This window comes from Homo sapiens, chromosome 16 (assembly GCF_000001405.40).
Source record: "Homo sapiens chromosome 16, GRCh38.p14 Primary Assembly".
NCBI classification, from domain to species: Eukaryota; Metazoa; Chordata; class Mammalia; order Primates; family Hominidae; genus Homo; species Homo sapiens.
Genome location: NC_000016.10, coordinates 67,666,795 through 67,688,145, shown reverse-complemented (window position 1 = coordinate 67,688,145; position 21,351 = coordinate 67,666,795). Strand labels below are relative to the sequence as shown.

Sequence of the window (21,351 nt, the reverse complement as noted above, 5' to 3'; positions counted from 1 at the left end):
GTCTTTCAGGTTATTGAGGGCCTTCTACTTCATGGTTTTCAGTAACTCCACAGCATTCTTTATCTAACCCATTACTTGTATTGGACATCTAGATTGTCTCCCAGTTTTTCACTATGATAGCCAATGCTATAGTAAATATCTGTATACAAAAAAACCTTTTTTCCTTTCTTGAGACAGTCTCACTCTATTGCCCAGGCTAGAGTGCAGTGGCACTGTCATAGCTCACTGCAGTCTTGACTCCTGGGCTCAAGCGATCCTTCTACCTCAGCCTCCCAAATAGCTGGGACTATAGGCATGTGCCACCATGCCAGGCTAATTTTTTTTTTTTTTTTTTTTTAGTAAAGATGGGTGTCTCACTAAGTTGCTTGTGCTGATCTTGAATTGTTGATCTCAAGCAATCCTCCTGCTTTGGCCCCCCAAATTGCTGAGATTGCAGACATGAGCCACCACACCCAGCCTAATAAAATCTTTTTTTTTTCTTTTTTTCTTTTTTTTTTTTTTTTTTGAGACGGAGTCTTGCTCTGTCGCCCAGGCTGGAGTGCATTGGCGCGATCTCACCTCACTGCAGGCTCCGCCTCCTGGGTTCACGCCATTCTCCTGCCTCAGCCTCCCGAGTAGCTGGGACTACAGGCACCCACCACCACAACTGGCTAATTTTTTGTATTTTTTAGTAGAGACAGGGTTTCACTGTGTTAGTGAGGATGGTCTCTATCTCCTGACCTCGTGATCCGCCCGCCTCGGCCTCCCAAAGTGCTGGGATTACAGGCATGAGCCACCGCACCCGGCCTAATAAAATCTCTTTAAGCATACTTTTTCTTTTAGCCAGTTTGATGAAAAAAGTTTTTTGGTATTTTTTTTTCTAGTGAGCATTTTCCTATGTTTGCTACCATGAAAATTTTAATTATACTTAATCTGTATAGCAATTAGTTCTTTCACTTTCCTCTTGAACTGGTTTTTGTTTTCCATTCTTCTTTTTCTTTTCTTTTTTTTTTTTTTTTGTGACGGAGTCTCATTCTGTCACACACGCTGGAGTGCAGTGGCACAATCTCAGATCACTGCAACTTTCACCTCCCAGGTTCAAGTGATTCTCCTGCCTCAGCCCCTCGAGTAGCTGAGAATACAGGCTTGCACCACCACACCTGGCTAACTTTTTATATTTTTGGTAGAGACGGGGTTTCACCACGTTGGCCAGGCTGGTCTCGAACTCCTGACCTCAAGCGATCCACCCACGTCAGCCTCCCAAAGTGCTGAGATTACAGGCATGAGCCACCACGCCCGGCCTCCAGTCTTTCTTTCTTTCTTTCTTTTTTGGATAGAGTCTCACTCTTGTCGCCCAGGCTGGAGTGCAGTGGTGTGATCTTGGCTCACTGCAATCTCTGCCTCCTGGGTTCAAATGATTCTCCTTCCTCAGCTTCCTGAAGAGCTGGGATTACAGGCATCTGCCACCACACCTGGCTAGTTTTTTTTTTTGTATTTTTAGCAGAGATGGGGTTTGGCCATGTTGACCCGGCTGGTTTTGAACTCCTTACCTCAGGTGATCCGCCCGCCTTGGCCTCCCAAAGTGCTGGGATTACAGGTGTGAGCCACTGTGCCTGGCCTCCACTCTTCTTTTCTTTGTCATATATAGAATCATGAACTTTTATAGCAAGAAGGAACCTTAAAGATCAATCACTCCCCTTATTATACATTTAAGGCCCTGAAAGTTGAATCTTTTGACCAGGGTTACACAGAAAGTTAAGTAGCAGAACAGAGATTTAAACTCAACTTTATTCATTTTCCGTTTTTCCTCTTATCCTTCAGTCTCCATGGAAGAAGAAGATTCTGCAGTGTTTCATCTTGGAACAGTATTTCTTTTTTCTTTTGAGACAAGGTCTTGCACTGTTGCCCAGGCTGGAGTGCAGTAGCACAATCATAGCTTACTATAGTTGTGAACTCCTAGGTTCATGTGATCCTTTCACCTCAGCCTCCCAGGTAGCTAGGACTACAACAAGCGCATGCCACCACATCTGGCTATTTTTTAATATATATATTTTTTAATAGAGATGACATCTCGCCGTGTTGCCCAGGCTACTCTCAAACTCCTGGCCTCAAGTGATCTTCCCACCTCGGCCTCCTGAAATGCTGGGGTTACAGGCATGCATGAGCCACCATGCCTGGCCTCGAGCCCTATTTCATTTGTGCTTTTCTGGCAGAGAACTTGTTACTTCCTTATTTGAAAGTAGCCTTCGCACCACTGCACTCCAGCTTGGGCAACAGAGCGAGACTCCATCTCAAAAAAAAAAGAAAGTAGCCTCAGCTGAGTGTCCTCTCCAGTAATAACCAGTGTAATGTTTGCTATTCTAGGAGCCATGTCTGACCAGGACGTTTGGAAGATCATATCCATGCCAGAGGCTCTTGTGAGGAGATGAGTTGGTAAAGAGAGAGGCTGGGATGAAGATGCTGCCAGGAGTGGGCGTGTTTGGGACTGGCAGCTCCGCCCGAGTTCTGGTCCCACTGCTGAGGGCAGAAGGGTTCACTGTTGAGGCCCTGTGGGGGAAGACTGAGGAGGAGGCGAAGCAGCTTGCTGAGGAGATGAACATCGCCTTCTACACCAGCCGGACTGATGACATCTTGCTGCATCAAGATGTGGATCTGGTGTGCATCAGCATCCCCCCTCCACTCACCCGGCAGATATCCGTGAAGGCTCTAGGTACGCCCGGCAGGCCACAGCAGGGGCAGATCATGTCTCTCCCTCTGGGCAGTCCTCTGAGGGTCACTCCTCTCCTCTGAGCTCTCCTTCCTGGGCTCGCATCTGCAGGGAGGAGAACTCTGGGACATCACTTGTCCCTGAAGCAGTGCTTGGGGAGGGCATGAAAAAAGACATAGCCTAACCTACCTCCCATCTGTAAATCCCTGAACAGAAATTAAGGAAATACTCTAAGAGACAGCCATCAAGGGGCTGGAGATGGTTGCATCTCAGTCAACATAAAGTTTGCCTCTGTGAAGTTAGAGGTCAGAGCCCTGGGTGGCGGGGAATTGGTTGTGACTAGTGTGTTTGTTCTCCCATTTCTGGGGCACACAGCACCACAGGAAGGAGAGGCTGTGTAGCAAGGCTACCATTTCCCATGTTTTGTCAGCGTTTGACTATAGTGAGCACACACCCTTCCTGCCAAACTGCAGTCTTGTATTGCCGGAGGACAGGAAGGCTCTGCCAGCATTGGGCTTCCCTGACAGGATCCGTCGACAGCCTGCTTACATGACATCTCCACTCCCTTGGGAAGTTTTGGGCTTGGTAACCTCTTGCCCCTGACTGGGCATGGCCTGCTGAGCTGTTCTCCTACAGTTCCCGTTGGTCTTCTATTTCCAGTCAACTGGAGTCAACTTCTTCTCTTTATCTAATATAAATCAGAACCTAGTTTACTAAGTAAACAAACCAGTAAACATTCAGCCAGCAATTTTTATTTTATTTTGAGACAGAGTTTCCCTCTTGTTGCCCAGGCTGGAGTTCAATGGCGCAATCCCGGCTCACTGCAACCTTCGCCTCCCAGGTTCAAGTGATTCTCCTGCCTCAGCCTCCCAAGTAGCTGGGATTACAGGTGCCTGCCACCACACCCAGCTAATTTTTGTATTTTTAGTAGAGACAGGGTTTCACCACATTGGCCAGGCTGGTCTCGAACTCCTGACCTCAGGTGATCCATCCGCCTCGGCCTCCCAAAGTGCTGGGATTACAGGTGTGAGCCACCATGCCCAGCATTTTTTTAAAATTATTATTATTATTTTATTTTATTTTTTTAGATGGAGTCTCACTCTGTTGCCCAGGCTGGAGTGTGCATTGGTGCAATCTCAGCTCACTGCAACCTCCACCTCCCAGGTTCAAGCGATACTCCTGCCTCGGCTTTGCAAGTAGCCAGGACTACAGGCATGTGCCACCACGCCCAGCTAATTTTTGTCTTTTTAGTACAGATGGGGTTTTGTTATGTTGGCCAGGCTGGTCTCGGGCTCCTGACCTCAGGTGATCCACCTGCCTTGGCCGCCTCCCAAAGTGCTGGGATTACAGGCAGGAGCCACCACACCCAGCCTCAATTATTTTTTTAATGCCTCCTGTGTGCCAGTCACTGTCCTGATGTCATTTTGGACATTCAAAGCTGTGTTAGATTGGACCCCTCCCTGTCTTCAGATTTTATAGTCCAATTGAGGCAACTAGAAATAACACACATTACAAGGTAGATGACAGAAGACATAGTCACAATTCAACTAGCACATACTTACTTGACTGAGTAACTGTTTTATGTGAGGTAATAGGAGCCAAGTGTCTCCTTGATGCAGCCGAAGATCTCTAGGTCGAGGAACCGGTGCCATGAGGTTGTCCTCCACTCTTCCTGACCACTGCCATGGTGGCAAACCTCAGGGTCTGCTACTTATCTCCTCCCTCATTCTGAGGAATGTCATAGGAAGGTGTCTGTCACCTCTGGCTCAGTGGGTAGGGAAGGATAAATGTTCTTTGAAGTGAGAAAGAACTTCAGTCTGTCCGGTTGTCAATTTGGAGCAAGTAAGTTTTGGCCTTATTGTTTGTTTCTTCCAGAGAGCTCTCTCTGAGGATGTGTGACATTGGAGTTATTCATTCATTGGTCACCAAATGCTTGGGAGGTCAGATGGTGGCTCCCAGATTGAATTCAGAAATAGACCTAAGTCAACACTTTAGCAGCAAGTTGGTTCAAGGGGAAGCAAGCCGCTATTGGTCACTTGACTCCTTGCCATCCCTTGTGGCTTGAATGCAGGCTGGAAAGGTGAGGTGTGTCCGGAGCCAGAACTCTGGAGGCTCTCAGTCTTCTTCCTGAATTTTAGGGTTCCCCACAGAGACCATTTCCAAGCTATACGGGAAGAAAGAGGAAACCCCAGGGTTCTTTGGCAACAAGCTTGCTTTTTTTCTGGTTCTTGGTATGCTCCACCAGCAGCAGCATCACCTGGGAGCTTGTTAGAAACTGAATTCTCAGCTGGGCAACATAGTGGGATCCCGTCTCTACAAAAAAGTTTAAAAATTAGCCAGGCATGGTGGCACGCGACTGTGGTCCCAGCTACTTGGGAGGCTGAGGCAGAAGGATCGCTTGAGCCCAGGAGATAGAGGCTGCAGTGAGCAGTGATCATGCACTCCAGCTTGAGTGACAGAGTAAGACTGTCTCAAAAGCAAACAAACAAAAAGAAATCTAAATTCTCAGGCCCCACTCCAAACCTACTGAATCTCTGGGATCCAGCTATCTGTGTCTGAACAAGCCTTGCAGGTGACTCTGGTGGACATGAAGGATTGAGAGCCACTGATCCAATCATTTTGAATTAAACTGAGGCCCAGGAGCATTAAGGAATGACATCTTGGTTACATTTCACCAAGTCTTCGTGCTGTGATTTTTCTCTCCTTGCTAGAGCTTTATATTTTTACCTTACTTCTAAGGCCACGAGATCATTTCTTGCCCTCATTATTAGTTTTTCCTAAAATTAATGATTGGACTTAACCTTCCAGAGATAATACTTTTCATATCACAGCTCTTTTTATGGCATCTTGTTTTCTGCTTTGGTCTGACCTATGTTCTTCATCTTCTACCTCCGATTTCATCCTTAAAGCTTTCCCATGAATTTCTTAAAGGGGAGAGGGGAAGGGCCCTAATATATTTTATTCTTCAGTTCAGAAGTGGTTCAGGAAATTATATTTTAAGTGCAAGGTGCCCCTAGCATCTTTGCCACAGTTGAATGTTTTCTTAAGTCTGTCACTAAAAGGTGGGCTTCTGTGCCCAATTCTTGGCACTTCTGTGGTTCATTAGAAAAACACTAAGTTTGCAGGCCAGGCTTGGTGGCTCATGCATGTAATCCCAGCACTTTGGGAGGCCGAGGCGGGCGGATCACAAGGTCAGGAGTTTGAGACCAGCCTGACCAACCTGGTGAAACCTCGTCTATACTAAAAACACAAAAATTAGCTGGGCGTGTTGGCACGTGCCTATAGTCCCAGCTACTCAGGAGGCTGAGGCAGGAGAATTGCTTGAACCCAGGAGATGGAGGTTGCAGTGAGCCGAGATCACGCCACTGCACTCCAGTCTGGGTGACAGAGCGAGACTCCATCTCAAAAAAAAAAGAAAAGAAAAGTAAAAAGAAAACATTTTTGTAGAGACAGGATCTTGCTGTGTTGTTCAAGCTGGTTTCGAACTCCTAACCTCAGGCAATCATCCTACTTTGGCCCCCCAAAGTGCTGGAATTATAGGTGGGAGCCACTGTGCCCAGCAGATTTCAGCTTCTCCAATCTCTCCCTTGACTTCCTGGCAGGAGAGCTAGATAAACTCAGGTAGACATGTCTTTCATGGCTACCCAAAGACTCTGTACAGCTAGCCCTCAGGAGCCTGTTTAAGTCAAGATGTCCTTGCAGTCCCACACTGATACTACTGAGCCCTAAGTTTAAGAGTGCTGTTATTCAGGGTTGGGCTCAGTGCCTCACACCTCTAATCCAGCACTTTGGGAGGCCAAGGTGGGCAGATCGCTTGAACTCAGGAGTTAAATACCAGCCTGAGCAACATGATGAAATCCCATCTCTACCAAAAATACAAAAAATTAGCTGGGCACAGTGGCGTGCACCTGTGGTCCCAGCTACTTGGGAGGCTGAGGTGGGAGGTTAGCTTGAGCCCAGGAAGCGGAGGTTGCAATGAGCCAAGATTATACCACTGGGTAACAAAGCGAGTCCCCATCTAAAAAAACAAAAACAGACTATTTTTCAGATTCAAGAAGAGAGGTCTTTCCCTCTTTCCTCACCTCTTGAGGCATGAAACAGGAATTCCTTATCCTAGTTTTATCACCACCAAACTCCTAGCAGTCATAAAAGTCCTTTTTCCTCTAAACCCACCTCCTCTCTGCCTCACACTGCAGTATCCACTCTGTCGCCAGCAGCGAGGCATTATAGCAGGAGGCTTCTGAATTGGCCAGAACAGCAGCTCTCAGGTGGGGTGTCTGAGAACCTCATTTCCTCATTACATCCCTCCCTGGTCAGCCATATGTGTTCAGCAGCCAAATGGCAAAATTCACCCCCAGAACTGTGATTGTCTTCCCTAATCTGGAAGGCCCACAAGTGTGGAGAAGCACTGGAGACCCTCCAGAAGCAGTAGTGCTAGCAGTCAGGGGCTACTCTCCCTGCCGGGCCCCGTGCAAGGGCCTGGCCACCCTATCCCAGGTATGTGACACTTGGCTGGCTGTTCTTTATTGTCCTGCTAGTACCTGTTGTAAAGCTTCTTTTATTAAAGAAGAGCAGGAGATTGAAGTGTCATAAATTGAAGAGATTCACACCAACACGGCACATGTATACATATGTAACAAACCTGCACGTTGTGCACATGTACCCTAGAACTTAAAGTATAATAACAAAATATGTATTAAAAAAATAAATAAATAAATTGAAGAGATTGAATGATGTCATAGACTACCAATCCACATGCCTTGTTCCTTGCTGCAGCACTGAGGTTTGTAATCCTGGGAGTTTAGACCTACGTAAGATGCCCATAAGTACAAATGACAGATGCTCTGTGGGGTTCTTCAGGGTCAAGGTGGCAGAGGTGGGGGTAGGAAGTGAGAGGAGGGGGAAGGGTTGACCAGAGGCACCAATTTGTCTCCTGTGGGCTTGGTCAGTATGTGAGCTACCAGGGGGCCAGGCTGGGCCTGACTCTCGGAGAGGCCTAATAAACAGTACGTATGATAAAACAACTCCTCTGTATTCGTTTTGATTTTATTTATTTTTTGAGACAGAGTCTTGCTGTGTCATCCACGCTGGAGTACAGTGGCTTGATCATAGCTCACCGCAGCCTCTAACTCCTGGACTCAAGTGATTCTTCCACCCTAGCCTCTTGTGTATCTGGGACTACAGCTGTGCACTGCCACACCTGTGAGCCACCTCACCCAGCCTGAAAATTAGATTTTCTAAAAAGACATTATAAAATCAACATGGGTTGGGCATGGTGGCTCATGACTGTTATCCTGGCACTTTGGGAGGCCAAGGCAGGAGGATCACCTGAGGCCAGGAGTTTGAGACCAGCCTGGGCAATGTAGCAAGACCCTGTATTTACAAAAAGTTTAAAAATCAGCTGGGCGTGCTGTCACTCATCTATGGTCCTTGCTACTTGGAAAGCTGGGAGGAAGGCTCTGTTTGAGCTCAGACCAAGACTGCAGTGAACCAGAATCCCGCTACTGCACTCCAGCTAAGTGACAAAGCAAGACCCTGTTTTTTTTTGTTGTTGTTGTTGTTTTTTTTTTTTTGAGACGAAGTCTCGCTCTGTCGCCCAGGCTGGAGGGCAATGGCACTATCTCAGCTCACTGCAACCTCCGCCTCCGGGGTTCAAGCAATTCTCCTGCCTCAGCCTCCTGAGTAGCTGGGATTACAGGCGCCTGCCACCCCGCCCAGCTAATTCTTGTATTTTTAGTAGAGATAGGGTTTCATCATGTTGGTCAGGGTGGTCTCGAACCCCTGACCTCGTGATCCACCCGCCTCGGCCTCCCAAAGTGCTGGGATTACAGGCCTGAGCCACTGCGCCCGGCCAAGACCCCGTCTCTTAAAAAAAGGAAGAAGAAACTAAATCAGATTTTCAAAGTACAGAACATAGAAATTATTTACCTGGGGCCGACGCGGTGGCTCACGCCCCAGCACTTCGGGAGGCCAAAGTGGGTGGACCACCTGAGGTCAGGAGTTCAAGACCAGCCTGGCCAACATAGTGAAACCCCATCTCTACTAAAAATACAAAAAACTTAGCTGGGCATGGTGGCAGGCTCCTGTAATCCCAGCTAGCTCAGGAGGCTGAGGCAGGAAAGTCACTTGAACCCAGGAGGCAGAGGTTGCAGTGAGCTGAGATCGTACCATTGCACTCCAGCCTGGGCGACAAGAGCAAAACTCTGTCTCAAAAAAAAAAAAAGAAAAAAAAAAGAAATTATTTACCTGGAAAATGTAGTTTCTATGTGAGTCTTTTATTTATTTATTTATTTGAGACAAAGTCTCATTCTGTCACCCATGCTGGAGCGCAGTGGCTTGATCGCAGCAAACTGCAGCCCCAATCTCCTGGACTCAAGGGATCGTCCTACCTCAGTCTCCCAAGTAGCTGGGGCTACAGGTACACGCCACCACGCCTGGCTTATTTTTTATTTTTAATAAATACTAGGTCTTGCTATGTTGCCCAGGCTGATTTTGAACTCCTGAACTCAAGTGATCCTCCCACCTTGGCCTCCCAAAGTGCTGGGATTATAAGCGTGAGCCACCACGCCCAGCCAAGTCTTAAAATCCAAGTCACAATGGGCTTTTTTTCTCTGTATTTACGACATTGGCTGAATCCCTCCCTTGGCGATGGTAATAAAATGTACTGTTGACAGAGCTGTACTGAGCCAGGTACTTTACATATACTGCTTTGGTTGCCTTAGTCCTCCTTTCTTCCCCTGTAACTGTAAAATCCTGCTTTACAGTTATAGTAGTAAACAAAAACCCAGGGAAGTTTAGAAACTTCCCAGATCATCTAGCAGTGAAGTGAGAGAGCCAAGATTTGAGCACAGGAATTTCTGGCTCCAAAGCTTGAGTCCAGCACCAGTAATTGACTCTTCCTGGGTAGTCAGTTGTCCTGGGGCCCATCCATCATGTGGGACATCGGCCATTTCTTTTTCTTTTTCTTTTTTTTTTTTTTTTTTGAGACAGAGTTTCACTCTCGTCGCCAAAGCTGGCGTGCAATGGCGCAATCTTGGCTCACCGCAACCTCCACCTCCCGGGTTCAAGTGATTTTCCTGCCTCAGCCTCCCGAGTAGCTGGGATTACAGGCATGTGCCACCACGCCCAGCGAATTTTGTATTTTTAGTAGAGACGGGGTTTCTTCCTGCTAGTTAGGCTGGTCTCAAACTCCCAACCTCAGGTGATCCACCCACCTTGGCCTCCCAAAGTGCTGGGATTATAGGCGTGAGCCACCATGCCCAGCCAAGACATTGGCCATCTCTATGAAGTTTTCTTAGTTTTTGTTGCAAGATTTATTGTCTGTAGTTACTATTGTTTCTGCTGTAAGCTGGCCCCTCCTGAGCCTGTGTGAACAGAATCCATCTTGGTCCATCAGGGTAAGCTGCACCCTGCAGTGAGCCATCAGAAATAATCTGTGTCTTAACCATTACCTCATCTGAAAACATTCAGAAAATGTTTGGGGGCCTGAGGGAAGATGAGCACCATGGTTACTGAAGATGCACATACCTGGAGAAGGCACATTCTTGTGACCGGTTGCCCCAGGTCACAGGCATCCAGGCCTAAGGCTGCCCCTCCAACCAGGAAGTACCTGTGGAGTGCCAGAGTGGAGCCTGGATGGCTGTGGAGGAGAAGCCCAGGTGCACACATTGCCCAGATGGGCTTCAACTAGAAGGGTAAGCACATGAATTAGTCCAGCCCAAGACTTGGTATCCAGTTTTCCACATTGCATGTAGGCTCTGTGTAATGCTTTCAGTCTCGTTTCCTAACCCACCCCTGCCTTCTCAGTCCTTCAGCATTTCGTGATCATTGCCTCTCCCCAATCCCCAAGTCCTTCTGCACAGCAGCCCCCATCTCACATTCAGTGGCTAGAGCAGGATGAGCAACCGAGAGACCACAGGAGGCAAAGAGTCAAAAAGATAATTTTGGAGTGGTCAGGCATGGCAGCTCATGCCTTAATCCCAGCACTTTGGGAGGCCAAGGCGGGTGGATCACCTGAGGTCAGGAGTTGGAGACCAGCCTGGCCAACATGGTGAAACCCTGTCTCCACTAAAAATACAAAAGTTAGCCGGGCGTGGTGGTGGGCACCTGTAATCCCAGCTACTCAGGAGGCTGTAGCAGGAGAACCGCTTGAACCCAGGAGGCGGAAGTTGCAGTGATCCGAGATCATGCGACTGCACTCCAGCCTGGGCAAGAGTGAGACTCTATCTCAATATTTTTTTAAAAAGAAAATTTTGGAGGAGTGCACAGATCATGTATCAAGACCTTATGGGTGGGGCCTTTGTAAGGACTTTGGCTTTTATTCCGAGAAGCTATTGCACATTGGAGAGCTTTTTCGTGGGTTTTTGCCAGGGTGTCTTTACCCTTTCTGGCTTACTATGACTTGTAAACTTCTGTATGTGTCTAGTCCATACTGCTTTTTGGGCTTTCTAAGTTTTCTATTTAAAGTATTAGCACAGGATTTCCTTCGACTTGAACCACACAAAGCTCGCAGGAACACTGCAGGTGTTAGTGTCTCATGGCTGCTCATATCCTCACAAGCTTTCATCTTGAAACATGGAGCAGCATTCATCCCTTCAGTTCCCAGCTGCTTATCCTCTAGCACTCTCCTCAGGGCTTTGTCCAGCTTTGTTTACCTCTGGGTGCGTGTTGGCTGCAGCGTACCCAGAATGGGTGTGAGGGCAAAAAGGGTATTCTCACTTCCTTCCCTTCCTGCCGGAGCCAAACATGTTCTAGCCTTGGGCCACTCTAACTTGTTGGACCAGTGTTTTCAGAGAACAATCTGCAGGGAATCTTAGGGCCCTCTCTGGAGTTATGACTAAGAGTAGAAGTTATGAATAGTCCATCCCCTAGAAAATAGGTTAGATTTCCTTGCCCCAAGCTGATGACCTAATAAATGCATGACAACATAGAGACACGTCCATGAAGTGTGCCCACCTCTCTAGCCCACCTGTGTTATTCAGGGTTCTCCAGAGAAACAGAACCAATAGGGTGTTTAAGACAGAGATTTATTTGAAGAAATTGGGGCCAGGCATGGTGGCTCACACCTGTAATCTCAGCACTTTGGGAGGCCAAGGCAGGAGGATCACTTGGGCCCTGCCTAGGCAACAGAGGAGGACCCCATCTCTACAAAAAAAAAATTTTAAATTAGCCAGGCGTGGTGGTACACACCTGTGGTCCCACTTAGGAGGCCAAGATGGAGGATCGCTTGAGGCCAGGAGATTGAGACTAGCCTGGGCAGCATAGCAAGACCCCACCTCTACAAAAAAGAAAAAAAAATTAGTTCGTGCAGTTGTAAGGCAGAGAAGTCCAAAATCCTCAGGGCAGGCGGACATGCTGGAGATTCCCCCTTGAAACTTTGAGATTTCCTGTTGTGTCCTGTTGTTAGGTATTGGGAAGAATGTGGTTTGCGAGAAGGCAGCAACATCGGTGGATGCCTTCCGGATGGTGACAGCCTCGCGCTACTACCCGCAGCTCATGAGCCTGGTAGGGAACGTGCTGCGCTTCCTGCCTGCCTTCGTGCGCATGAAACAGCTGATTTCGGAACACTATGTGGGAGCGGTGATGATCTGTGATGCCCGCATCTACTCAGGCAGCCTGCTGAGCCCCAGCTATGGCTGGATCTGTGATGAGCTCATGGGCGGCGGGGGCTTGCACACCATGGGGACCTACATTGTGGACCTGCTGACCCACCTGACCGGCCGGAGAGCCGAGAAGGTGCACGGGCTGCTCAAGACATTCGTGAGGCAGAACGCTGCCATCCGTGGCATCCGGCACGTCACTAGCGATGACTTCTGTTTCTTCCAGATGCTCATGGGTGGGGGTGTGTGTAGCACAGTGACACTCAACTTCAACATGCCAGGCGCCTTTGTGCATGAAGTCATGGTGGTAGGCTCTGCAGGACGCCTCGTCGCCCGGGGAGCCGACCTCTATGGGCAGAAGAACTCTGCCACGCAAGAGGAGCTGCTCTTGAGGGACTCGCTGGCAGTGGGCGCAGGACTGCCTGAGCAGGGGCCCCAGGATGTCCCGCTGCTGTACCTGAAGGGCATGGTCTACATGGTGCAGGCCTTGCGCCAGTCCTTCCAGGGGCAGGGCGACCGCCGCACCTGGGACCGCACCCCTGTCTCCATGGCCGCCTCCTTCGAGGATGGGCTGTACATGCAGAGCGTGGTGGATGCCATCAAGAGGTCGAGCCGATCCGGGGAGTGGGAGGCTGTGGAGGTGCTGACGGAGGAGCCCGACACCAACCAGAACCTGTGTGAGGCACTTCAGCGGAACAACCTATGAGCCTGCACCTGGGCTCCTTGCCACAGGGCAGAGGGACCAGGGAGGGGAACAGGAGCCAGACATGACAGGGACTTGGCCCTAGCAGAGACAGTGTCTTTCATTTAATGAGTCTGGGTGAAGCCAGAGGTGGCTCTGGGACTTCGCCCCCTCCAGTGGCTCATCTGCTCCTCAGACTTGCAGGGTGGCAAATGTTCCTGTTGCCAGGTTACCACGGTGTGCACAGGGCAGAGCTGCCGCCAGGCCTCCTCATGGTGATGCCAGTGAGTCGGACCAGGAAAGGCTCACCCTGGGGAGCCCTTCAGCCTGATCCGCAGTCCTAACAGGGTGAGAAAGCACAAGAGGGGCCAGCTCGGCTGAGGCCTGAGGAGAAATGATGAGAAGTTTTGTTTCGTTCTTGGGCTGGGGCATCTCAGGAACAGTGAGGGCAACAAGCTGTCCCTCAGGGACCCTCACCTGCCCTCCCATGTGACCAGGCCCTTCCCAGGTGGGGACTGGGGCTTGCTTTATTAAGTGAGCTCTTGGGCTTTTGAAGTAGGACAGAGGGCCCTGGTTTGGCAGAGAGGAGGCAAGGGAGGGCTTTAGAACATCTGAGAAATGTTAATAAATAATTCAGAAAATAGGACATGGCATGTGGTTTTTGTTTGGTAGGTTGGGTTTCTTTAATACTGAAAGGCTTGTTTCTGGCTGGTAGGGGGTTTTTCTCTACTCATTGCTCCACAGCAGCTCGGAGCCAGCGTGGGTCATCACCGCCAACTGTGCCACACGGGCCGCTGCCCCTGCCAGCCCTCGTCTCCTGCCTGTTCCCTCATAGCCAAATCCCAGGAGCCTCAGAAGAAAAGATTTCCTCAGAGAACAGGACTCAGGACTTCCTAATGGGCTGCTGCTGGGCCTGCCGTCTCAGCAGATAGCGGGAGAGTTTGGGGCCTCACTGGGGTGGAGGTTAGGAGGGGTTCTGTTCTTAATGTCACGGTGTTGGCTGCCAGAGTGCTCTTGAGGTGGCGGGGAGGAGTGGTTTCAGGGAGGTGGCACAGGGTGAGGAGGAGGAGGAAGAGCTCCAGGCGTGCCCCATGGAGCAGCTGTGGCTGGACCCGAGGGCCAATCACCCACCATGCTCTTGACTGTGCTCTGCACAGGGCCAGCCTTCTACCCAGCTCTGCCAGAGGCGGCGGGGGGTGGGGGCGGGGGGGCACGGTGTTGAGAAAAGACATGCGTTCCCCTTTGCTTGTTTGACCAGCCTGCCAGGATCGTTCAGCCTGGACCAAGTTCTGTTCCCTTCTCTAACCTTCCGCCCTCTTCCCTGCCCTGGGCTCCTTGCCAGAAAAGCCCAGGGAGGGCTTCCTCTTCCTCTTGGCACCGCTTCTAGACGTCACCAGGCTTGTTTTCCTGTAATTTCCTGGATTCAGATGTCCTTGTGAGAGGGAATAACAAGGGATAGGGTTGGAGTGTGCCTACTGCATGCTGACCCTCAGGGCAAACGTGTATGTTATTATTTCCCTTAACCTCCAAACCACTCTCTGACGGTAAATATTCTCATCATTCAGATCATAAAATGGAGGCACAGAGGGCAAAGCTACTTGCCTCCTGTAGATTGTACATGATGGAGCCAGGAGCCTGGTCAGGACCATCTAACCACAGAGCCTGACCTTGAACCACGCTTCCTCCCAGCATTTGGGAATCTTCAGACCTGAGGGCCCGGCATTGCCCCTCCCTGTGGCAGGAGCCTCGGCCTGGCCTGAACTAGGAGGTGAAATGCAGATAGCACCCACCACCAGGCAGGACACCGAAGGTTAAAGGGGAGGCTGCCCCCTTGTCCCTGGGACAGTTAGCTCAGCTCAGTCCTCCCATGTGTTGCTAGGATGTCGAGGTCACTCTGAAATGTGGGAATTGACCAGGAAAGCACAAGCCTGACTTAGATGCTCCCACATAAGAAAGGGCCATGTGGCCAACCCAGAATGGCACTCGGGTTCCCAGAATGTGCTGGGGGGAGGGTACTGCAGTGGGCTGAATGCAGAGCTGCTTTAATGAGGACCCCGGTTCCTCTGAGGGAATCCCCAGAGCCTAGATTCACGGCCAGAGTGGTGCATGGCCCCTTCCCTCAGACGTCTTTACCATCGAGTTATCCTGGGCATCAGAGCTGGTCAGTCCCACACTGGGGATGGGGAAGACAGATGTGCCCAGATGCCTGTGGCCAAGGGAGCCCACAGGGTTCTGGTCTCCATGGGTGACTGAACCCACACTGGTTCTAGACTTGTCCGGCAGCACCCCCTCCTGGAAGAAGGCAGTAGCATCTCCCAGGACCTGTTTCCAAATCTCAGGATGTTACCAGCTCTTCCTCAGGTCAAAATAAAGTTTTTCCAGGACAGTAAAAATGCAGTTAGCTTGGCTCGTCAGATACAGCAACCAGAAGAGAACTTCCCAAATACCTGTCGCTTATTCTTCAACCTCCAGCCAAATCCAGGACTGTTTTCACCTAGACGATGGCAGCCACTTCCTTTCCTGTTCTGCCCATCACCCTGCTGGCCAAGCAGCCTCTCCTGAATGTCACGCCAAGATCCCTCCCTATCCACACCCTTCCTCCTCACCCCCGGACTTGACCAACCTGGTTTCCATATGGCCATGCCCTCCTCTCCAGCCACACTAAGAGCCCTCCTGCAGAGGTGGCAGCTTCCATACTAGCAGGGCTTTGTCCCTGGCATGTCCTCTGCCTGGAAGGCACCACCTCTCTCTCTCAGGAGTCAGCTGGAGGACTGCCCGGTCACCACTTCTGACTTCAGCAAAGTAGCCACCTCCCAACCTGTGGTTCCACAGCCTTGGTCCTCAGTTGAGCTGAGGTTGCATGTCCCTCCATCCCTCCCTCCCTCCCTCTCTCCCTCTCCTTTTCTTTTCTTTTTTCTTTTCTTGTCTTCTTTCTTTCTTTTCCTTTTTTTCTCTCTTTTTTCTCTTTCCCTCCCTCCCTCCCTCCCTTCCTTCCCTCCCTCCTTTCTTTATTTATTTCTTTTCTTGACAGAGTCTCACTCTGTCACCCAGGCCGGAGTGCAGTGTCGTCACCTTGGTTCACAGCCACCTCCACCTCCCCGGTTCAAGCAATTCTCTTGCCTCAGCCTCCCAAGTAGCTGGGACTGCAGGCGCCCACCACCACACCTGGCTAATTTTGTTTGTTTGTTTCTTTTTGAGATGGAGTTTTGCTCTCGTTGCCTAGGCTGGAATGGAGTGGCGCAATCTCAGCTCACTGCAACCTCCACCTCCCTGGTTCAAGCAATTCCCCTGCCTCAGCCTCCCAGGTAGCTGGGATTACAGGCACATGCCACCAGTGCCCAGCTAATTTTTTTGTATTTTTAGTAGAGATAGGGTTTCACCATGTTGGCCAGGCTGGCTGGTTTCGAACTCCTGACCTCGTGATCCACCCACCTCGGCCTCCCAAAGTGCTGGGATTATAGGCATGAGCCACCGCCCCCAGCCTAATTTTTGTATTTTTAGTAGAGGCGGGGTTTCACCACATAGTCCAGGCTGGTCTTGAACTTCTGGCCTAAGTGATCCGTGCCCCCCTCAGCCTCCCAAGGTGCTAGGATTACAGGCATGAACCACTGCACCTGGCCACTTGTTTTGAATATATAATTTCAACTTTTATTTTACATTCGGGGGGTACATGTGCAAGTTTGTTACATGGGTATACTGTGTGACGCTGAGGTTTGGGGGACGATTGGTCTCATCACCCAGGTAGTGAACATAGTAAATAGGTTTTTTCAACAATCACCCCACCCCCTCTCTGCCCCCTCTCATAGTCTCATGTTTGTGTTTCCCATGTTTGTGTCCATGTGTACCCAATGTGTAGCTCCCACTTGTGAGAACGTGTGCTATTTGCTTTCCTGTTCCTGTGTTAATTTCTTAGGATAATGGTCTCAGCCGTTTCCATGTTGCTGCAAAGGACGCGATTTCATTCTTTTTTTTATGGCTGCATCATTTTTACTTCTTGAGACAGGGAAAAATGTTGCCCAGGCTGGTCTTGAACTCCCGGGCTCAAGCGATCCTCCTGCTTCAGCCTCCCAAATATCTGGGACTACAGACACAGACCACCACGCCCAGCTACACGTCTCCCTAAATAATGTAGCATTTCCTCTTTACAGCGAGCTTCTAGGAGCAGTAGGGACTTGGTCCTTTCTGCAGCTCCTACTACCCACCCTGCTTAGACAAGTCCATTGGGTAATAGGCCTCAGGAATTGCAGACTAGTTCTCCCACGATTTCTAATTCCTGCCTCACCTGTGAGAAGACAGGACCAGCTCTTCCTTATCAGTGCTGGCCTCGTTCACGCTTCCAGCCCTGGAGACCGCACAAAGATACAGAGGCCTTCTTGGGTCCGGCCTTAGCCAGAGAGCCCCCAGGTCGGCAGATCCTGCACAACTCAAGACAGGGATTCCTAGATCCCAGGGTGTGGTCTCATGCAAGGCCACTTCTCTCCAGGCCTCTGCCATCCCAAACATAAAGCAAGGAGGTTAAGCTCAATTATCTTGGCTGGGTGTTTTGGCTCATGCCTGTAATCCTAGCACTTTGGGGGGTCAAGGAGGGAGGATTGCTTGAGGTCAGGAGTTTGAGACCAAGCTGAGCAACACAGACCCTATCTCCACAAAAAAAATTTTTGGCCGGGCACGGTGGCTCACATTTGTAATCCTTGAGTCCGGGAGGCAGAGGTTGCAGTGAGCCAAGATTGTGCCACTGCACTCCAGCCTGGGCAACAGAGCGAGATGCTGTCTCAAAGAAAAAAAAAAGTCCTGACCCCCATGGCTTGTCATGGGGCCAGTGAGCACCCAAGTGACCCTGTCAAAGGAGGGAGCAGGCTGGGATGATGCCAGAAAGGGGACCCTGCTTTTCCCACCTGAACCTGCCCACCCTACTCCCTCCAGTGACCTTGCCAGGCCATATTCCAGGGAACCTACATATTAGACTGTGGCCTCGGGATGGCCTCAGCATTTCAGATTCTGGCCTGTCCCTCTCTGCAGCTTCCTCCACCCCTCACTTCAGTCTCATCACCTTGGTGCCTTTTAAGGGGCCCTCTGGCTAGGTCGATGTGATGCAATGAGATGTGCCCTTAGGGAGCTCACGGTCTAATCCCGATGACAGTTATAACCCACATGATAGCAATGCGCAGGGGCTGCAATGCAGGGCAACATGGGGTGCTGTCTGGCTCCCCAGGAAGCAGAATCCCAAGTTTTCAAAGGTGTGCGTGCACTAGCCAGGGGGAGAGGTGGGAATAAAGGCATTTTAGGCAGAGAAAGCCCCACATGCACAGAGTGAAGGGAGGAAAAGGTGTAACTGCTCAGGGAATTACCGGAAGCCACTGAATTCTAAGGTAGCTGGGGCAAGAGGAGGGGAATCCCAAGGGGGAGTGACACCATCAGGGGCTCAGGTGTGTGTGTCACAGGGCCACTGGATGGATCCGTGGGCCAAGGGATGACAGGCAGGGTGACCAGTGAGGCTGTCACCTGGAGATGACAGTGGTCCAGGCGACGGTGCTGACTGTGGGGTCCGAGAGGTTCTCAGCCTGAAAGGGTAGGATCACTGGCCTCAATGTCTGCTTAGCTTGTAGGAATCAGGGAGCAAAGAACAGGATGGGGTCTGGGGTGACACCCAAGATTCTAGCTTAAACAATTGTGCAGATGAGATACAGGAGGAAAAGCCAGTTGGAGGAAGGGGAAATTTCCATGAACTTAAAATTCCCTGTGTCTGTTTGTGGTGTCCAAGGAACACACAGGAGGCCCAGGATGTGCAGTTTCCAAAATGGCCAACACTGGCTGGCTCTTCCCAGAGATCCTTGCCGGTTGGACACAGCTGTCATCCAGTGGCTTGGCCTCAGGGTCCCAGATGCACTTACTGCCCCTGTCCACCCCTGCCTGCCAGGAAAACATCACTGATGCCCTGTCACCTGTGACCAGAGGCTACTCCACAGACAAGGTCCGGTCCAGCTATGGTCTGGCAATGAGTAGGAAACATCCCAAAGCTGTCACTGTTGTGACAGGCAAAAGAACTCTGTGCTACCTCCTAGGAGGATCCCAAGTTTTGATCCCCTCAAGGTGAGACCAAATGCAGGCCCTTCCCCAGGAGACAGAAGAGCAGGGCCAAACACCTGCTTCCCATGACCCAACAGACCCTTTCTTTTCTCTGCCCCAAGTTCCTCCTTCTCACTTCCCTCTTCATCACCCAGTTAGCTGCCTGACCCTCAGATTCACCTAAACACACAGCACCAGGTCCACCCTGATTCAGTGAGGCATGGGGTGGCACAAAGGAATCTGTCATTGTCAAAGTCTCAGGTGATGCAGATGACCATTCAGGCCTCAAACCCTGCACTGTTGAGTCCTCCATCCTCTTACCCATTTCAGGCAACCTATCTGGGGAATCACAAAGTCTTTGAAAAAGAAAAATATTTATTTTCAGCAAGACCAAAGTCCCAAGTGGGGGCAGGTGCCAAATTTGCCCCCGCCACCAGAGGGCCTAGGCCCACAGGAAGCCTGAAGCCAAATTCAGGCGTGGAAGGAGGGGAGCCACCAGTGGGGCGGGACAGTCACTTGTACTGAGGAGAGAGCGGGGGGACAAGTGGAGCAGTGCAGACACTCAGCATCTTGTCGATGTCCACCTGGGTTGACTTATCCACCTCGGCCTTGTGGTCACTCACCCCCAAGCTGGGCAAGCCCCCAGGCTCCTCTCCAGCCTCCTCTCCGAGGGGAGCCAGGGCATGGGTGGGGGTCACTAGTGGACTGGGACAGGGCAAAGCGAGGCCTGGGCCCAGCTCACCTGCCAAGGGCAGCAAGGCCTGCAGTTGCTCCACACCTCCCTCCTCGGGAACCGGGGCCAGCTCTGCCTCTGCCTCCACCTCAGCCTCCCCGTCCCCCTTCCCTGCCTGGTTCAGCTCAGGGTTGCAATAGTTGACGTACTGGTACAGCGGCCGCAGGCGCTGGGCCTTTCCTGCAAAGACCCAGGGCAGGGCAGAGGCTAGAGCGCCAGGTTGTGCCATGTCGGGCCCCACAGGCAGGGGGAGAAGGAACAGTCCAGGGACTGCCACTCACGCTCCAGCCTCAATGTCTCTAAGGGTGCAGACACCATGCTGGCCACAGCGTGGAGCACGGGAGCCCCCAGGCTCTTGCGCTTCTTGGCTTTTTTGTGCTGTTTGGCAGATGGTGAGGGCTCACTCTGGCTGTCCTCTGGCTCCTCCTCCTGCAGCGGCAGCTTGGGTGGCAGCTCAGCTTCAGCCTTAAGATGGGCACGAAGGCCCGGGAGGCTGAGAGACCTGAGCCAGGGACAAGAGACTTGAGCCAGGCTCCAGCCCTGGCTCCCATTCCCTGGCCCAGGGAATAGCCCAGCCTGCCCACAGCCCCAGGGCTCGACGCCTGTCCCGTTCCTGGTCAATGAGACCCCAGGCCCAAGAGGCTTAGAGGCCAGTGAGCCCAGGCCCCTACAAGCCCTGAAGCTCCCACTCTCCTGCTGCTCCCTACACGGGGGCTCTTGAGGAACGGGAGGAGAGTGATGGTAGTGGCTGGGGACGAGAATCCTCCCTGCAGGAGTGCAGGATTTAGGAATCCTACTGTGGTGTGTGCCCCAACCCCGGGGCTGCAGCTCCTTCCCCCCGAGAGCCCCCTCACTTGACAGGCTTTCTCTTTGGACCATGACGGGGCCTCACAATGGAGACCACGGGCCTGGGGCCTCTCTCCTCTAGCGCCCCGGCATGCGGCTTGGGCCGCTCCTCCCCCAGCTTGGGTCCTTCCTCCTGGAGCTCCGACTCCGAAGCTGCGCCTGCTGGGCGCTGGTCTTCACTCTGGGTTCCGCGGGCCTCATGGGCAGGCACCAGGAACTGGTCTCCCGCCACTGGACACTAGAGATGACACACAGGCCATCGGTCACCATGGCCGGGCAAAGGACATAGGGATCCGTCACTGAACACCTAACGTTAGACACCGAAACGGGAATAAGGACACCAGCCTGTGCCCCTCCCCGCCTGGAGGGCCCAGCCTGGCAGTTAGCGGGTCGGGGCGCTCAGTTCCACCTCTCAGAGCGCTGCGGCCCTGTGTTTGAAGGTTAAACAGCCTGACGGTCACCTCGGAGGTCTGAGCGCTGCCGGGCTCCTCCGTGAGCTGTCCCTGCCCCACGACCGTCGCCTCCTGGACCCCCGGCCGCCTCTCCGCCCCTGCCGAGGCCATGGCTGCGCAGGCTGAGTGCGTCCTCGACAGCTGCTTGGGGCGGGCCCCAAGGGGCTGGATGGTGGCCCCGCGCTGACCCCGGAGACCGGCCAGCAAGCGAGGGCAGAGCTGGGAAGAGAAACCGGCGACCGCGGAGCCCACCCTCGGCCGAAACTACAAGCCCCAGGACGCTTTGC

The 21,351-nt window shown here is 51.6% G+C and overlaps 2 protein-coding genes across 10 annotated transcripts in view, besides 8 other annotated features; one reads left to right on the top strand and one right to left on the bottom strand.

The window, feature by feature from the left end:
• The window catches only part of GFOD2 (Gfo/Idh/MocA-like oxidoreductase domain containing 2), a 44,781-nt gene extending 31,171 nt beyond the window's left edge, over positions 1 to 13,610 (top strand). For 3 of the 6 annotated variants that reach the window (NM_030819.4, XM_047434723.1, XM_047434724.1), the window contains exons 2-3: positions 2,344 to 2,689; positions 12,093 to 13,610. In NM_030819.4, the coding sequence (NP_110446.3) occupies positions 2,431 to 2,689; positions 12,093 to 12,991 (1,158 nt within the window). In that variant the 5' untranslated portion in view covers positions 2,344 to 2,430 and the 3' untranslated portion in view covers positions 12,992 to 13,610. Of the gene's footprint in view, positions 1 to 2,343; positions 7,711 to 10,156; positions 10,381 to 12,092 lie in introns of those variants that run through there. The other 3 variants (XM_006721288.5, NR_027398.2, NM_001243650.2) reach the window with 3 other exon arrangements.
• Positions 2,325 to 2,384: an enhancer, noted in NCBI's record as "active region_10980". NCBI's record gives its function as "activates an Ori minimal core promoter by ATAC-STARR-seq in GM12878 lymphoblastoid cells {active_cell/tissue: GM12878}" and the evidence as "EXISTENCE:reporter gene assay evidence [ECO:0000049][PMID:35858748]".
• Positions 3,431 to 4,630: an enhancer, noted in NCBI's record as "CDK7 strongly-dependent group 2 enhancer chr16:67717419-67718618 (GRCh37/hg19 assembly coordinates)". NCBI's record gives its function as "activates an origin of replication core promoter dependent on BRD2, BRD4, P300/CBP, MED14 and CDK7 cofactors, with strong dependence on CDK7, by STARR-seq in HCT116 cells {active_cell/tissue: HCT116}" and the evidence as "EXISTENCE:reporter gene assay evidence [ECO:0000049][PMID:35650434]".
• Positions 9,168 to 10,123: an enhancer, noted in NCBI's record as "NANOG-H3K27ac-H3K4me1 hESC enhancer chr16:67711926-67712881 (GRCh37/hg19 assembly coordinates)". NCBI's record gives its function as "activates a minimal SCP1, AML or CMV promoter by ChIP-STARR-seq in naive and primed H9 embryonic stem cells {active_cell/tissue: H9 hESC(naive and primed)}" and the evidence as "EXISTENCE:reporter gene assay evidence [ECO:0000049][PMID:30033119]".
• Positions 10,124 to 11,080: an enhancer, noted in NCBI's record as "NANOG-H3K27ac-H3K4me1 hESC enhancer chr16:67710969-67711925 (GRCh37/hg19 assembly coordinates)". NCBI's record gives its function as "activates a minimal SCP1, AML or CMV promoter by ChIP-STARR-seq in naive H9 embryonic stem cells {active_cell/tissue: H9 hESC(naive)}" and the evidence as "EXISTENCE:reporter gene assay evidence [ECO:0000049][PMID:30033119]".
• Positions 14,995 to 15,054: an enhancer, noted in NCBI's record as "active region_10979". NCBI's record gives its function as "activates an Ori minimal core promoter by ATAC-STARR-seq in GM12878 lymphoblastoid cells {active_cell/tissue: GM12878}" and the evidence as "EXISTENCE:reporter gene assay evidence [ECO:0000049][PMID:35858748]".
• C16orf86 (chromosome 16 open reading frame 86) lies at positions 19,391 to 21,332 on the bottom strand. 4 transcript variants are annotated; one of them, XM_005255952.6, is made up of 4 exons: positions 21,074 to 21,332; positions 20,621 to 20,850; positions 20,048 to 20,268; positions 19,391 to 19,973 (listed from the first exon to the last, which is right to left on the bottom strand). In XM_005255952.6, the coding sequence occupies exons 1-4, from the start codon at positions 21,173 to 21,175 to the stop codon at positions 19,546 to 19,548; spliced, it is 981 nt and encodes a 326-aa protein (XP_005256009.1). In that variant the 5' UTR covers positions 21,176 to 21,332; the 3' UTR covers positions 19,391 to 19,545. The 4 variants fall into 4 exon arrangements, with proteins under 4 accessions (XP_005256009.1, NP_001013002.2, XP_047290053.1 ...); NM_001012984.3 differs by having other exon boundaries at positions 19,391 to 19,946; XM_047434097.1 differs by having other exon boundaries at positions 20,048 to 21,332.
• Positions 20,965 to 21,014: a silencer, noted in NCBI's record as "silent region_7622". NCBI's record gives its function as "represses an Ori minimal core promoter by ATAC-STARR-seq in GM12878 lymphoblastoid cells {active_cell/tissue: GM12878}" and the evidence as "EXISTENCE:reporter gene assay evidence [ECO:0000049][PMID:35858748]".
• Positions 21,095 to 21,144: a silencer, noted in NCBI's record as "silent region_7621". NCBI's record gives its function as "represses an Ori minimal core promoter by ATAC-STARR-seq in GM12878 lymphoblastoid cells {active_cell/tissue: GM12878}" and the evidence as "EXISTENCE:reporter gene assay evidence [ECO:0000049][PMID:35858748]".
• Positions 21,165 to 21,214: a silencer, noted in NCBI's record as "silent region_7620". NCBI's record gives its function as "represses an Ori minimal core promoter by ATAC-STARR-seq in GM12878 lymphoblastoid cells {active_cell/tissue: GM12878}" and the evidence as "EXISTENCE:reporter gene assay evidence [ECO:0000049][PMID:35858748]".
• Positions 21,333 to 21,351: the final 19 nt, after the last annotated feature.